The sequence below is a fragment of the Homo sapiens genome, chromosome 6, assembly GCF_000001405.40.
Source record: "Homo sapiens chromosome 6, GRCh38.p14 Primary Assembly".
Taxonomy (NCBI): Eukaryota; Metazoa; Chordata; class Mammalia; order Primates; family Hominidae; genus Homo; species Homo sapiens.
The window spans coordinates 88,818,834-88,836,467 of NC_000006.12; the positions used below are offsets into that span (position 1 = coordinate 88,818,834).

Consider the following 17,634-nt stretch of genomic DNA (forward strand, 5'->3'; position numbering starts at 1 on the left):
AAATTTAATCATTATGTTTTTTCTATACAGAGCTATATTTAGTTAGCCAAAACCATTTATGTGACCATACATTTATGTCATAATAAATAAAAAGACTTCTGTTAAACATATTTGTTTGCTGATAGGTAAAATTATATCCACATCACAGTTTCAATAAAAATAATAATACTAGTCCTTTAATATCTTCAACCTACTTTCTTTCAGTTCATAATTCAATAAACAGCAAATTATTAGAAAATTTAATTTTGAAATATACAGTTATTATAACATCTATGAGACCTAGAAAAAATTATTTAATGTCAAGAATAGTATTCTTCATAACATTAAGTATTCCCCAAAATTATATAAAACTTAAATATATTTTTTGGTAGATAAAAGATAAAGTCATTTTTCCTGAAATGATGTCTTAGCACCTAACTGAACTATAGAAAAGAGAAGGTCATTAAGAGGAAGGTTTCAAGTAGAAATAGTCTGTTACACTCACAGATACAGTAACAGGAAAGGCAAGGCGGGGCTCATGAATTAAACAGCCCCAAGAAAAAAAGAATGAAAAAGGGCAAATTCTGAAAGGGGTGCTGAAAGAGCTCATGCAGCTAATAAACACATGTGCCACAAAACAACCATCCAAACAGTAGGATCTGCATTCTCCTAGAAATTCAATGTTATTTCCAAGACACTACATTACTTTTGAGTAAAGAGTCCTAATCCTTTGGCATCATAACCACCAGCTACTCTAATCTTAACCCTAACTTTTCCATGTAATTCATCAAACTACCAACAAGGACTTTAGTACTTGAATCATCCTTGTCTTCTTCATGTATGCTACCATACATGTGGACAATCTACTCAGCATCCTAGTGTCCAAGATCCTAAATATTTTCAACTCTACTGACATTCTCTTCCACTCTACCTCATTAATCTCTACCAACAGACAGCTGCTAAATTATTATTTAAAAGTACTCCACATCAAACGTGATCACTCTCTTACAATATATGTCTCCCATCCAGCAATGAAAGAGGCATTTCTATCTACCTGCTACAGCTGCGGATCTTTATTTCACCTTTCAAAAATTATTTCACCTACTAGGTAGGTGAAACATTTCACGAACATTCTCAAAACCCTATCTCCACACATGCCTCTCTGGAACTACAATTCTCAGCACTGCAATATGACTAGATATGAGATTGTACAGAATCATATGTGGAACAGTGTTTTAGACTTGGAAAACCAAGCAAAGAGTATTAAGAATTTAAGCCCTGAAATGCCACAAGAGTGGTGCTTTCTGAGGACTGAACTTATCACAAGAAAACCTATAGGCTCCTACCAATTACCCAGTGAAAAAGTCTAATTTTAACAATATATTACTGATGATGATGATATGATGATGATGATGATGGATGACTTATCTGAGGCTAGCAGTTCCACACTATTAAATAAAGAAAGCAAAATTTTAAAACATTGGCCAGTTACCCAGCCCTCCATGTTTGGCTAATATGAGAGGAAGAATCAAAAAACAATCAAATATTTTCTCATTAATGTCAGAACAGGACAAAGATATTCTCTGTCAGCACTCCTTTCAAAATCATACTGAAGTTCTAGCTAATAAAGTAAGACAAGTAAAAGGTATAAATATTGGGAAGGTAGAAATAAAATTGTCTTTTTTCACAAATGATATGATTGCCTATGCAGAAAGTATGAAAAGAATAAACAAAAACTCCTGGAACTAATAAGCAATTATAGCCAGGTTTCAGGACACAAATATATAAAACTCAATCACTTTCCCACATACCAGCAATGGTATACAGAAAAAATATCAATCACTTTCCTATATACCAGGTGAATTTCAAAATTTAAAATACAATAACATTTACATTAGCACCCTCCAAAAATGAAATACTTAGGGATAACATAACAACTACATATAAAAATCTGTATTAGAAAAACTACAGAATTCCAACGAAAGAAACCAAAGAAGAACTAAATAAATGGAGAGACAGCACATGTTCATAGATAGGAAGACTCAATATTGTCAAGATGTCAGTCTTCCCAATTTGATCTACAGATTCAACACAATCCCAACCAAAATCCCAGAAAGTTATGTTCTAAATATTGTCAAACTGATTTTAAAGGTTGTATGGAGAGGCAAACGATCTAAAATAGCCAGCACAATATTGAAGGAGAAGAATAAGAGCAACAACTGACACTACCAGACTCAAAATTTACTATACAGCTACAGTAATCAAGACAGTATAATATCGGCAAAAGAACAGACAAATGGATCAGTGGAACAGAATAGAACCCAGAAATAGATCCACATAAATACAGTCAAGTGATCTTTGACAAAACAGCAAAAGCAATGAAACGAAAATAGTCTTTTCAACAAGTGGTGATAGAACAACCGGACCTTCACATGCAAAAAAATAAATAAATTCTGAAGTTGCAAACTTATGATTTGTGTATGTTTCAGTGTGTGTTATACATCCCCAAGCAAAAGTCTGCTTAGAAACACTAAAGAAAAAAATGTGCTAATTAAATTTTAGAAAGCATATGTTTTACATTCTCAAATTTCTGAAAAATATGCTATGCTAAAAATCAGATGTGTGAAATATAGGGCATTTTGAGGAACTATCCAATAATACAAAAAGAAGAACAAAGAAAAGTATAAAAGATAAAATATATAGAAGCACATGTTAAGCAAAATTTTTAAGGAAAATTAAATATTATGCAAACCTATATTAATATTTCTAAGCAAAATACGATTAAGCAAAATTCAAAGTAAACAAAAGCAAAATAAAAGAAATTAATATTTCTGTATAAAATATGCCTAAGCAAACTGAAAGAAAAAATGGTGTCAACTGATTTCGATAATAAAATTCATAATGAAGAAATGAGTAATAAATGTTTATGTGCTAAAATTTTAATATATTAGAAAAAAGACAAAATGTAATAGCACTGAAACATTTTAATATTCCTCTCTTACCTATGACAAAACTATAACATAAAAACATTCACAGAAATGTTTATAACTGATGATATATTAGGCCACTAAAAAAAAAAAACCAGCAAATTCCTAGAAATCATACCAACTACATTCCCTAGTCACCAAACAAACAACAACAAAATTAGAACTAAGAAAAATAAATAAGTTGAAAACAAATGGGAAAAGCTGATAAACTTCAAATTTTAAAACATTCTGTTAAGTGCTGTGCAGTCAGGGGAAGGGCCAAAAAGTGAACTGAATTTATACAGCCAGTTTTTCTCTAGGGGCATTTCCTGATTTTAACATATGGCAAAACTTAGAAAATCCATATTTTTTCCCTAGGCAAAAGGCCACTGCTAAGGGAAAAGGAAACAAGTAGAGATTTTAGTGGGCTCAGGGAATTAGAGAGACACATTTGGGAAGGGATTCAAACATACACCTGGATTTCCCCTCGAGATGATAGCACAATGCTAAAGTTACACAGATACGTAGAAAACAAAATTTAAAAGAAAATATATGTCCAACACCAATATAATACATTTGAACATTTTAATGACATTGATAATTTTCTAAAAATGACATATTAACAAAGGTGACGCATAAAAATGTTAAAAGTTGCTAACTATGTTTTTCAAAGACTTTCCTCCTTAAAAATATCCTAAAAGTTATTTTAGGACTGAGTTCATTCAGGCTTTCACAGAACAATTCACTACAGTGTAAATAAACTATTCTCTGTCATAGAAAAATAGGTATAAATCCCCTGATTCATTTTACATAATAAAAACAGACAACTACAAAATCATTCTCCATCTACTGTCAACTACAGACCAACCTCTATCACCCATTCCGTCGTTCCAGGCATTTGCAATAGTGGCAAATCTATCACATTATTTTATCAGAAAGTGTGTCTGTATCACATAAAAAGAGTGAACATTGATAGGATGGCAATTAAAAACAGGTGATCAACCAACAAATACATCAACATTTATAATACAGTGATTTAATTTTTGACAAAGGTGTCCAGGAAAAGAAGTCTTTTCAACAAATGGTGCTAGAATAACAAGCGGGGAGGGTGATATGAATCTCAATTCCTACTCCACATTACTAACAGAAACATTAATTTGAGACAGATAATACACCCAAACATAAAAACTAAGCCACAGGCTCTCAGAATAAAACATAGGAGAACATATTTCTGACCTTGGGTTAGGCAAGCAAAGGTTTCTTTACGCAAGACACAAGAAAGCACTATCCATAAAAGAAAAATAATTCATAAATCAAACGAGTGAATTAATAACTTCTGCTATCAAAGGCCTCTGTTAAGAAAATTGGCTGGGCATGGTGCCTCACGCCTGTAATCCCAGCACTTTGGGAGGCCGAGGCAGGTGGGTAACCTAAGGTCAGGAGTTCGAGACCAGCCTGACTGAACAACATGGTGAAACCCCGTCTCTACTAAAAATACAAAAAATTAGCTGGGCGTGGTGCCACGTGCCTGTAAGTAATCCCAGCTACTTGGGAGGCTGAGACAGGAGAATCTCTTGAACTCGGGAGGCTGAGGTTGCAGTGAGTCAAGATCGCACCATTGCACTCCAGCCTGAGCAACAAGAGCAAAATGCCATCCAAGGAAAAAAGAAAAAAAAAAAGCCTCTGTTAAGAAAATAAAACAGCAAATTACAAAGTGGGAGAATATATCAGAAAAATATATCTGACAAAAGACCAATATCCAAGATATGTAAAGAACTTCTCCAACAAAATAAAGAGATAAACCCAGTAAAAAATAAAACTGAAAATAAATGGAAGATTACAATTTACTCTGAAATTCACCCCAAAAAATAGACTAATGGATGGATAGAGAAATAGATGAATTAATATGTGTTAGAGCTGGTACAGGAAAATATAGACTCTAGGCCTTCATGGGTGTTCACAATAAAATTCTTTCAACTTTTCTGTATATTTAAATTTTTTCTAAATAAAATGTTGTTGGAAAAAAAATCAAAGATCAGGCTAACAAAAGAGTTGAGATTTAGCTGAGAACTAGAAAGAGGCAGCTATAAAAGCTAAGCACAGTTCCAGAGTGCAAATGTCTTAACATGAACTATAAAATATCATATGTGGAAATACAAGAAATAAAAACACTAGTGAACAGTAACTGTAAAAGAAAATCATAGAAAATTAGCAGCAAGGTGGGCAGGAACTAGATCATACAGGTATACATCAAGATAAGTTTTATTTTGCTTTAAATGTAAAAAGAATCTATGATATAGGCACAAAAATCCTACATACCAGCAAATTAAATTTAAAAATACAGTTATGCATCATTTAACAACAGGAGTGTCTTCTGAAAAAAATGCATTGTTGGGTGATTCTGTCATTGTGTAAACATCACCGACTGCTCTTACACAAACCTAGATGGTCCAGCCAACTATACACTAGGCTATACAATATACAGCCTATTGCTCCTAGGCTACAAACCTGTACAGCATGTAACTATACTCTGTACTGAATACCGTAGGCAACTCTAACACACTGGTAAGTATTTATGTATAAAAGATAAAAAATGGTACACCTGTATAGGGCAACTTTGTTATAACCTTATGGGACCACCATTATATATGCAGTCCAAAGTTGACCAAAACACTGTTAAGTGGCACACAACTATATATTAAAACTGTGCTATTCAATGGCCACATGTGGCTACTAAAATTTAAATTAAATGACATTAAAAATCTAGTTCCCTCAGCTGCACTAGCCACAATTCAAGCACTACTCAATAACCATGTTTGGCTAGGAGGCACTGTAGTACATAGCAAAGATTACAGAACATTTTCATCTTATAGAAAGTTCCGTTGGACAGGTCTGCTTTGAAAGAAAACACATATAAACAAGACGCCAACAAAAAGGACCCTGCAATAAATTGAAAACACGTTTGTTTTCTTTTTTTTTTTTTTTTTCTTTTTGGAGACGTCTTACTCTGTCATTCAGGCTGGAATGCAGTGGTGCGATCTCGGCTCACTGCAACCTGGGTCCAAGAGATTCTCCTACCTCTGCCTCCAGAGTAGCTGGGATTATAGGCGTCCACCACCACGCCCAGCTAATTTTTGTATTTTTAGTAAAGACGGGGTTTCACCACGTTGGCCAGGCTGGTCTCAAACTCCTGACCTCAAGTGATCCTCCCACCTCGGCCTCCCAAAGAGCTGGGATTACAGGTGTGAGCCACCACACCCAGCCTTCTGTCTGTTTTCTAAAAAACATGTAAGTAAAAATGAAAGGAAAAGAATAACCAAAAATTATTTACAAAATGCCAAAATTCTTAAGTGAAAATGCTTAAAGGAAGTCTGTCAGTTATCATAGAGCATACACTGAAGGGTACACTGAGAACTAAGAATATAAATTAATAATTGACACAATATCCCATCACATTTGCCATCTGTTGGTTAGAAGCAAGCTACAGATCCCACCCACACTGAAGAGGAGGGGGTTACACAACAGGCATTGGGGTTCACCTTAAAATTCTGCCTACCACATGGGTGGAGGTACACAGTAGCACAAACTTTCAAGAATATTTGGTGGCATAGATTCCATTTTTAGAATTTATCCTAAGGAAATAACTCATGAACTTTCACTAAGTTATCTAAAGAGATATTCATCGAAACATTAGTAACAAAATTTTGGTAGCATTCTAAACATCTAATCAGAGATACTAACTTGAAAACCATTACTTTTAAATAAATACAGCCTATTTTCCAAATCAGTGTGTATATGTTTGACATACATATATTTTTTTAAAAATGTTTATTTGAATACATGTAAACCTTGCCTTTGTTTTGTGTCTACAACCAAACTTTGTTATACAGTGGTACTGTTTCTTCCACTGCAAAGCACAGTGTGTTCTATTGGTCTTCTACTGAAATAGTTCACTATTAGAGCTTTTCAGCTATCACTAATATACAAAATTGCTCTGATTATGACCATTATTTTTAAATGTATGCCTTATAGTTGCCATATTCCTTATGTTCATATAAATTGTTTGCATTTTCCACTATCCTTCTCCTCACTCTGCACCCGTGTCCAACAAAGTAAGGCAAGACTGATGGCACAATGGTAGAACACAAACAAATTGATGCTGATCTCTTTCTAATCTATTCAAATGCCTGGTTCATTCAAACCAATTTTACAATTAGCATAGAAAATATAGAGTTCTTCCCTCTTTTGGGAAATATATACTTCCCCATTTCACAGCCCACACGTTCACATGTCTGAAAACAGCACTTATCTTACAATGACAAATCACAGTTGATTTCATGTACCACTGGGTAAGAGATTTCCAAAGGTATGAAAAGAAAAAGGTGGGCAGGGGGCATGGTTTACAACCGATAGCATCTTATTTGGTAAACAAGGTACAGAAAATCTGGTTCCATATAAACAACAGAGTTGTCTGACACCCTTCTTCAACACCATCACCAATTGTGTACTAGAATCATATCTGTGATTTACAGTTTGTTTTCATGCATTTGTCTTCACACTCATGCCTTAGAGAAGTTAACTTAAACCTACGAGTTTAACGGCTTCACTGAAGTAATTTCTCAAAGTATTTTAAAATTTTATTGCAATAATTCAATAATAACACACAAGTTTTCTATATTTTACTTTTAGTAAGACTGGCTCTGCTCGAAGTATAAAAATCATCGGCCAGGTGCGGTGGCTTACACCTGTAATCCCAGCACTTTGGGAGGACAAGATGGGCAGATCACCTGAGGCCGGAAGTTCAAGACTAGCCTGGCCAACATGGAGAAACCCCATCTCTAATAAAAATACAAAATTAGCCAGGCATGGTGGCACATGCCTGTAATCTCAACTACTTGGGAGGCTGAGGAAGGAGAATCATTTGAACCTGGGAGGCAGAGGTTGCGATGAGCCAATATCACACCATTCCACTCCAGCCTGGGCAACAAGAGCAAAACCCTGTCTCAAAAGAAAAAAAAAAAATATATATATATATATATGTGTGTGTATATATATATATATATATATGTGTGTGTGTATATATATATATATAATATACTATAAAAATTACTTTAAAATTAATGTGCTGGAACTAAATACCTCCATCATTTCAACAATGACCAACAGAAGCTTCTATGCAAGTGGAAAGGGCAGACGCTATTATTTAACTGCCATATTTCACTTTAAAATTCTAAAAAACCTACTAAGTCAGACAATGCCAAAGTAGTGGCTCACATTGTTGAGTTACACACTTTAAAAAAAAAAGTATTCAGAGGCCTGGCAAGATGGCCAAATAGGTACAGCTCCAGTCTGCAGCTCCCAGCGAGATCAATGCAGAAGGCGGTGATTTCTGCATTTCTAACTGAAGTACCTGGCTCATCTCGTTGGGATTGGTTAGACAGTGGGTGCAGCCCATAGAGGGTGAGCTGAAGCAGGGTGGGGCATCACCTCACCTGGGAAGCACAAGGGGTTTGGGCACTCTCTCCCCTAGCCAAGGGAAGCCATGACGGACTGTGCCATGAGGGACAGTGCACTCAGGCCCAGATACTACGCTCTTCCCACAGTCTTTGCAACCTGCAGACCGGTAGATTCCCTCGGATGCCTACGCCACCAGGGCCCTGGGTTTCAAGCACAAAACTAGGTGGCCGTTTGGGCAGACACCGAGCTAGCTGCAGGAGTTTTATTTTCATACTCCAGAGGCACCTGGAACACCAGCAAGACAGAACTGTTCACTCCCCTGGAAAGGCGGCTGAAGCCAGGGAGCCAAGTGGTCTAGATCAGCAAATCCCACCCCCATGGAGCCCAGCAAACTAAGATCCACTGGCTTGAAATTCTCACTGGCAGTACAGCAGTCTGAAGTCAACCTGGGATGCTGGAGCTTGGTGGGGGGAGGGGCGTCTGCCATTACCAAGGCGTGAGTAGGTGGTTTTCCCCTCCCAGTGTAAACAAAGCCTCCAGGAAGTTCCAACTGGGCAGACCCCACCTCAGCTCCACAAACTGCTGTAGCCGGACTGCCTCTCTAGATTCCTCCTCCCTGGGCAGGGTGTCTGAAAGAAAGGCAGCAGCCCCAGTCATGGGCTTATAGATAAAACTCCCATCTCCCTGGGACAGAGTACCTGGGGGAAGGGGCAGCTATAGGCACAACTTCAGCAGACTTAAACGTTCCTGCCTACTACTGGCTCTGAAGAGAGCAGCGGATCTCCAGCACAGCACTCCAGCTCTGCTAAGGGACAGATGGCCTCCTCAATTGGGTCCCTGACCCCAGTGCCTACTGACTGGGAGAGACCTCCCAGCAGGGGTCAACAGACACCTCATACAGGGGAGCTCTGGCTGGCATCTGGTGGGTGCCCATCTAGGACAAAGCTTCCGGAGGAAGAACAGGCAGAAATCTTTGCTGTTCTGTAGCCTCTGCTGGTGATACCCAGGCAAACAGGGTCTGGACTGGACCCCCAGCAAACTCCAGCAGAGCTGCAGAAGAGGGGCCTGACTGTTAGAAGGAAAACTAACAAACAGAAAGGAATAGCATCAACATCAACAAAAGGACAGCCACTCAGAAACCCCATCCGAAGGTCACCAACATCAAAGACCAAAGGTAGATAAATGCACAAAGATGAGGAAAAACCAGCCCAAAAGGGCTGAAAATTCCAAAAGCCAGAATGCCTCTTCTCCTCCAAAGGATCACAACTCCTCATCAGCAAGGGAACAAAACTGGATGGAGAATGAGTTTGAGGAATTGACAGAAGTAGGCTTCAGAAGGTGGGTAATAACAAACTCCTCCGAGCTAAAGAAGCATGTTCTAACCCAATGCGAATCTGAGAACCTTGAAAAAAGGTTAGAGGAATTGCTAACTAGAATAACCAGTTTAGAGAACATACATGACCTGAGAAAGCTGAAAAACACAGCATGAGAACTTCGTGAAGCATACACAAATATCAACAGCCGAATCTATCAAGCAGAAGAAAGGATATCAGAGATTGAAGATCAACTTAATGAAATGAAGCCTGAAGACAAGATTAGAGAAGAAAGAATGAAAAGGAACTAATGAAGCCTCCAAGAAATATGGGACTATGTGAAAAGACCAAACCTATGTTTGATTGGTGTACCTGAAAGTGACAGGGAGAATGGAACCAAGATGGAAACCCTCTTCAGGATATTATCCAGGAGGACTTCCCCAACCTAGCAAGATAGGCCAACAATCAAATTCAGGAATTACAGAGAACATCACAAAGACACTCCTCGAGAAGAGCAACCCCAAGACATATAATCATCAGATTCACCAAGGCTGAAATGAAGGAAAAAATGTTAAGGGCAGCCAGAGAGAAAGGTCGGGTTACCCACAAAGGGAAGCCCATCAGACTAACAGCAGATCTCTTTGCAGAAACCCTACAAGCCAGAGGAGAGATTCAACATTCTTAAAGGAAAGAATTTTCAACCCAGAATTTCATATCCAGCCAACTAAGCTTCATAAGCGAAGGAGAAATAAAATCCTTTACAGACAAGCAAATGCTGAGAGATTTTGTCACCACCAGGGCTGCCCTAAAAGAGCTCCTGAAGGAAGCACCAAATACGGAAGGAAAAAACCAGTATCAACCACTGCAAAAACATACCAAATTGTAAAGACCATCGACACTATGAAGAAACTGCATCAACTAATGGGCAAAATAACCAGCTAGCATCATAATGACAGAATCAAATTCATACACAACAATATTAACCTTAAATGTAAATGGGCTAAATGCCCCAAATAAAAGACACAGACTGGCAAATTGGATAAAGAGTCAAGACCCATCAGTGTGCTGTATTCAGGAGACCCAGCTCCTATGTGTGTGCAAAGACACACATAGGCTCAAAATAAAGGGATGATTTACCAAGCAAATGGAAAGCAAAAAAAAAAAAAAAAAAAAAAACCAGGGGTTGCAATCCTAGTCTCTGATAAAACAGACTTTAAACCAACAAAGATCAAAAGAGACAAAGAAGGGCATTACATAATGGTAAAGGGATCAATGCAACAAGAAGAGGTAACTATCTTAAATATATATGCACCCAATACAGGAGCACCCAGATTCATAAAGTAAGTTCTTAGAGGCCTACAAAGAGACTTAGACTCCCACACAATAATAGTGGGAGACTTTTAACACCCCACTGTCAATATTAGACAGATCAACGAGACAGGAAATTGACAAGGATATTCAGGACATGAACTCAAACTGTGGACCAAGCAGACCTAATAGACATCTACAGAACTCTCCAAGCAAAATCAACATAATGTACGTTCTTCTCAGCACCACATCACACTTATTCTAAAATTGAGCACATAATTGGAAGTAAAACACTCCTCAGCAAATGCAAAAGAACAGAAATCATAACAGTCTCTCAGACCACAGTGCAATCAAATTAGAACTCAGGATTAAGAAACTCACTCAAAAACCGCACAACTACATGGAAACTGAACAACCTGCTCCTGAATGACTACTGGCAGAAATAAAGAAGTTAATTAAGGAAGAAATAAATAATGAAATAATGAAATTAAGGCAGAAATAAAGAAGTTATTTGAAACCAATGAGAACAAAGACACAACGTACCAGAATCTTTGGGACACAGCTACAGCAGTGTTTAGAGGGAAATTTATAGCACTAAATGCACACAGGAGAAAGCGGGAAAGATCTTAAATCAACACCCTAACATCACAATTAAAAGAAACAGAGAAGTAAGAGCAAACAAATTCAAAAGCTAGCAGAAGACAAGAAGTAACTAAGACCAGAGCAGAACTGAAGGAGAGAGAGAGAGACACAAAAAAAAAACCCTTCAAAAAAAGTCAGTGAATCCAGGAGCTGGTTTTTTGAAAATATTAACAAAATAGATAGACCACTAGCCAGACTAATAAAGAAGAAAAGTGAGAAGAATCAAATAGACACAATAAAAAAATGAAAAAGGAGATATCACCACCAATCCCACAGAAATACAAACTACCATCAGAGAATACTATAAACACCTCTATGCAAATAAACTAGAAAATCTAGAAGAAATGGATAAATTCCTCGACACATACACTCTCCCAAGACTAAACCAGGAAGAAGTCAAATCCCTGAATAGACCAATAATAAGTTCTGAAACTGAGGCAGTAATTAATAGCCTACCAACCAAAAACAGCCCAGGACCGGACAGATTCACAGCTGAATTCTACCAAAGGTACAAAGAGGAGCTGGTACCATTCCTTCTGAAACTATTCCAAACAACAGAAAAAGAGGGGCTCCAACCTAACTCATTTTATGAGGCCAGCATCATCCTGATACCAAAAACTGGCAGAGACACAACAAAAAAAGAGAATTTCAGGGCCAATATCCCTGATGAACACAGATGCAAAAATCCCCAATAAAATACTGGCAAACCAAATCCAGCAGCACATCAAAAAACTTATCCACCACGATCAAGTCGGATTAGTCCCTGGGATGCAAGGCTGGTTCAACATACGCAAATCAATAAATGTAATCCATCACATAAACAGAACCAATGACAAAAACCACATGATTATCTCAATAAATGCAGAAAAGGCCTTCGATAAAATTCAACACCTCTTCATGCTAAAACCTCTCAATAGACTAGGTACTGATGGAACTTATCTCAAAATAATAAGAGCTATTTATGACAAACCCACAGCCAATATCATACTACACGGGCAAAAGCTGGAAGCATTCCCTTTGAAAACCAGCACAAGGCAAGGATGCCCTCTCTTACCATTCCTATTCAACATAGTATTGAAGTTCTGGACAGGGCAATCAGGCAAGAGAAAGAAATAAAGTGTATTCAAATAAGAAGACTGGAAGTCAAATTGTTTCTGTCTGCAGATGACATGATTGCATATTTAGAAAACTCCACCGTCTCAGCCCCAAATCAACTTAAGCTGATAAGCAACTTCAGCAAAGTCTCAGGATACAAAATCGATGCACAAAAATCACAAGCATTCTCATACACCAGTAACAGACAAACAGAGAGCCAAGTCATGAGTGAATTCCCATTCACAATTGCTACAAAGAGAATAAAATACCTAGGAATACAACTTACAAGGGATGTGAATGACCTCTTCAAGGAGAACTACAAACCACTGCTCAAGGAAATAAGAGAGGACACAAACAAATGGGAAAATATTCCATGCTCACAGATAGGAAGAATCAATATCGTGAAAATGGCCATATAGCCCAAAGTAATTTATAGATTCAATGCTATCCCCATCAAACTACCATTGACTTTCTTCACAGAATTGGAAAAAACTACTTTACATTTCATATGGAACCAAAAATGAGCCCATATAGCCAAGACAATCCTAAGCAAAAAGAACAAAGCTGGAGGCATCATGCTACCTGACCTCAAAACTACACTACAAGGCTACAGTAACCAAAACAGCATGGTACTGGTACCAAAACAGATATATAGACCAATGGAACAGAACAGAGGCCTCAGAAAAAACGCCACACATCTACAACCATCTGATCTTTGACAAACCTGACAAAAACAAGAAATGGGGAAAGGATTCCCTATTTAACAAATGGTGTTGGGAAAACTGGCTAGCAATATGCAGAAAACTGAAACTGGACCCATTCCTTATACAAAAATTAACTCAAGATGAATTAAAGACTTAAACATAAGACCTAAACCCATAAAAACCCTGTAAGAAAACCTAGGCAATACCATTCAGGACATAGGCATAGGCAAAGACTTCATGACTAAAACACCAAAAGCAATGGAAATAAAAGCCAAAATTGACAAGTGGGATCTAATTAAACTAAAGAGCTTGTGCACAGCAAAAGAAATTATCATCAGAATGAAGAGGAAATCTAGAGAATGGAGAAAATTTTTACAATCTATCCGTCTGACAAAGGGCTAATATCCAGAATCTACAAGTAACTTAAATTTACAAGAAAAAACAACCCCATCAAAAAGTGGGCAAAGGATATGAACAGACACTTCTCAAAAGAAGACATGTATGCAGCCAAGAAACATATGAAAAAATGCTCATCATCACTGGTCATTAGAGAAATGCAAATCAAAACCACAATGAGATACCATCTCATGCCAGTTACAATGGTGATCATTAAAAAGTCAGGAAACAACAGATGCTGGAGAGGATATGGAGAAATAGGAACGCTTTTACACTGTTGGTGGGAGTGTAAATTAGTTCCATCATTGTGGAAGACAGTGTGGCGATTCCTCAAGGATCTGGAACCATAAATACCATTTGACCCAGCCATCCCATTACTGGGTATATAACCAAAGGAGTATAAATCATTCTACTAAAAGACACATGCACATGTATGTTTATTGCAGCACTATTCACAATAGCAAAGACTTGGAACCAACCCAAATGCCCATCAACGATAGACTGGATAAAGAAAATGTGGCACATAGACACCATGGAATACTATGCAGCCATAAAAAAGGATGAGTTCATGTCCTTTTCAGGGACATGGATGAAGCTGAAAACCATCATTCTCAGCAAACTAGCACAGAAACAGAAAACCAAACACTGCATCTTCAACTCATAAGTGGGAGTTGAACAATGAGAACACATGGACACAGGGAGGGGAACATCACACATGGGGTCCTGTTGGGGGTTGGGGGCTATGGGAGGGATAGCATTAGGAGAAATACCTAATGTAGATGACGGGTTGATGGGTGCAACAAACCACCATGGCACATGTGTGTAACACATCTATGTAACAAACCTACATGTTCTGCACATGTATCCCAGAACTTAAAGCATAATTTTTAGAAAAGTATTCAGCTGAATGTGAATACAGTCATGTGATCTATGTCAATCCTATGGCTTTGTTAACCTGCAGCAAATTCACAATCACAGAACAATTAATTGATCAGATTTAGGCAAAGTAACTGCCTCTTAATTATTTTGGAGGCCAATAACATCTTTTGACAGAGCATGGTGGCTCACACCTGTAATCCCAGCACTTTGGGAGGCCGAGGCAGGCAGATCACGAGGTCAGGAGTTTGAGACCAGCCTGGCCAATATGGTGAAACCCCATCTCTACTAAAAAGACAAAAATTAGCCGGGTGTGGTGGCGCACACCTGATATCTAACTATTCAGGAGGCTGAGGCAGGAGAATCGCTTGAACCCAGGAGGCAGAAGTTGCAGTGAGCCGAGATAGCACCAATGCACTCTGGCCTAGGCGACAGAGCGAGACTTCGTCTCAAAAAAAAGAATAAAAAATAAAATAAAATAATAATCATCATTTTCCTCTGAATCTACAAATAGGTATTTTTTTGAATGTTAATTATAAAAAAAATTAGCTCTCATATTTAGCAAACATAGAAAATTCTCCATGTTACAATTAAAAATCTTTCATAGAAATATTTCAAATATATATGGCATGAGATACAATTATTTCTTCATGTGTCAATGAATAAGATTTACTACTCCAAAAGAAGTTATCTGGGACAATAAATCTTTACGTTCACCGTATGAAAGTATGAATTCTCTTTAGTATGCGTTATATGATTTTCTTAAATTTCCCTCTGAAATGACATATGAATGAGATTGAAAGGATCCATCAGGCCATATTCAATAATCAATAATGAATGACATATTAATAGACTAGATAATGCAAAACTGAACACCACAAACATGATAAGGAATGGTCATCCTCATTTTATCTTGCATCTGCTTTCAAATCAAAATGCAGTTGCACCATTATATCTGTAATTTCATTAAAAATTAGGCATAATCACTGAAAATCTCTATGTGTGAACAATAGATCTTCATGTTTATGCAAAAATTCTTTCTTCTCTTCAACCACAGTTGCCATAACAAACTCTCAAAGGTTCTGTTTCTTTTACTATGATACAAACAATACAACACTGATACAGTCATAGAACAGTGATATAAAAATAACAAGCCTTATGGTTTTATGAACTACTAGTCTTGAACAGACACTTAAGAACTTATAAATTTATATTTAGTGATAAACAAGAAAATAAAGAAAAGAAAAGCAATACATAGAAAATAAATCTGAATGCCAAATGAAATACATAAACATAAAATTTAAATTCCTGCCTAACGAAGCATGCAAATAACTAATATTAATAAAATTATTTTAAAAGTAGATGTGTTCTTGAAAAATTAAATGTAGTAAAAGAATAACCTTTGTAATTGTCTATTTAATACTCTCAACAGTTATTAGAAAGGAGATCTTAACATTTACTACTCTTTCATCCTATAAAGCAAACATTTTACTTTTGAAACAGCAATAAGCAAATTATTTAAAAATATTTTCCACATAAAATTTTTCTAGTCTAATTAGACAGTAGAAAGTAAAATGACTCCAAGCAGAGAAAAGCTTTGCCACTAGGAACTTCAAGAGATTATCTGTTCTTTTGTTTTCTTTTTTAATTCTAGCTTTTGAAATGGGGGAAAGGGGACAGGGACTTGCTTATTTTTTTTAATCAAGCACAATTTCCTAAAATCACTCAAGAGTGATTCTTTGCATGTTCTTTCACTAGATCCTAACTATACACAACTGACTCCCTCTAAGGGAAATGTACAGAGTTCCAGACACAGACAAGCAGAAAATAAAGAAAGACAACATACTATTTCAACAGGAAAAGTAAACATGAGAAATTTGTCAAAGAAGAGAATGCATTATTATTTTTGCCAATTGGGCAGAAAAATAGGCAATTAGACAAGAATATATCAGGAAATGTTATCACTCCACAAATGAGCAATTTTAGAGTGGTCTTTCCCATCTACTTATATACACAGATAACCTATTCCCTGAAAATAAGGGGAAAATAATTATGAAACATAAAAAGCAGCTTCTCAGACTAAGCAAGTAATAACAGAGCTTTGTAGTTTAAAATATTGTCTGTCTAGCAGATTTGGTACAAACTTTCCAAAACATCTACTAAAATGCCTATGAAAAACATCGTATAAAAACATTAAACTTCAGAGCAGGACAAAAAGTCAGTAACTACCAGAATTTTAAGGTGATAGATCTGTACCAGAAAGTTTTAGAAAGTATTATAATTAGCCAGGCACAGTGGTATACGCCTGCAGCTCAGCTACTTGGGACACTGAGGTGAAAGAATTGCTTGAGCCCATGAGTTTGAGACCAGCCTGGGCAATACAGCAAGACTCTGTCTCTATTAAAAACACACACACACACACACACACACACACACACACACACACACACACACATATATATATAAGATTTACATATATATATATATATAAGATTTACATGTATATATAAGATTTACATATATATATATGATTTACTACTCCAAAGGAAGTTATCTGGGACAATAAATCTTTAGGTTCACCATATGAAAGTATGAATTCTCTTTAGTATGCATTATATGATTTTCTTAAATTTCCCTCTGAAATGACATATGAATGAGATTTATATATATATATAATTGATGACACTTTATAATAAATTCCAAAAAGTAGAAAAGTGCAGATAATATTCTCTCATGTCACTATAATAAAAATTTTTAAATTAAGAATAAACTCAGAAAATAAAGACTCTTCCACTAGAAATTTTAAAACTCTCACAATCCTGGGAAAGATGAAAAAATAAACCAAAACCGCAAAACCCTTACTAACATGACAAATAAATTATCAGATATTTGCCAGCT

The 17,634-nt window shown here is 36.6% G+C and overlaps 1 protein-coding gene across 5 annotated transcripts in view, besides 1 other annotated feature; it reads right to left on the bottom strand.

Moving 5' to 3' along the window:
* Nucleotides 1-17,634, bottom strand: part of RNGTT (RNA guanylyltransferase and 5'-phosphatase) — a 353,722-nt gene that overhangs the window by 208,937 nt on the left and 127,151 nt on the right. The gene's annotated exons all lie outside the window — the stretch shown is intronic.
* Nucleotides 8,063-8,910: an enhancer, noted in NCBI's record as "H3K27ac-H3K4me1 hESC enhancer chr6:89536615-89537462 (GRCh37/hg19 assembly coordinates)". NCBI's record gives its function as "activates a minimal SCP1, AML or CMV promoter by ChIP-STARR-seq in naive and primed H9 embryonic stem cells {active_cell/tissue: H9 hESC(naive and primed)}" and the evidence as "EXISTENCE:reporter gene assay evidence [ECO:0000049][PMID:30033119]".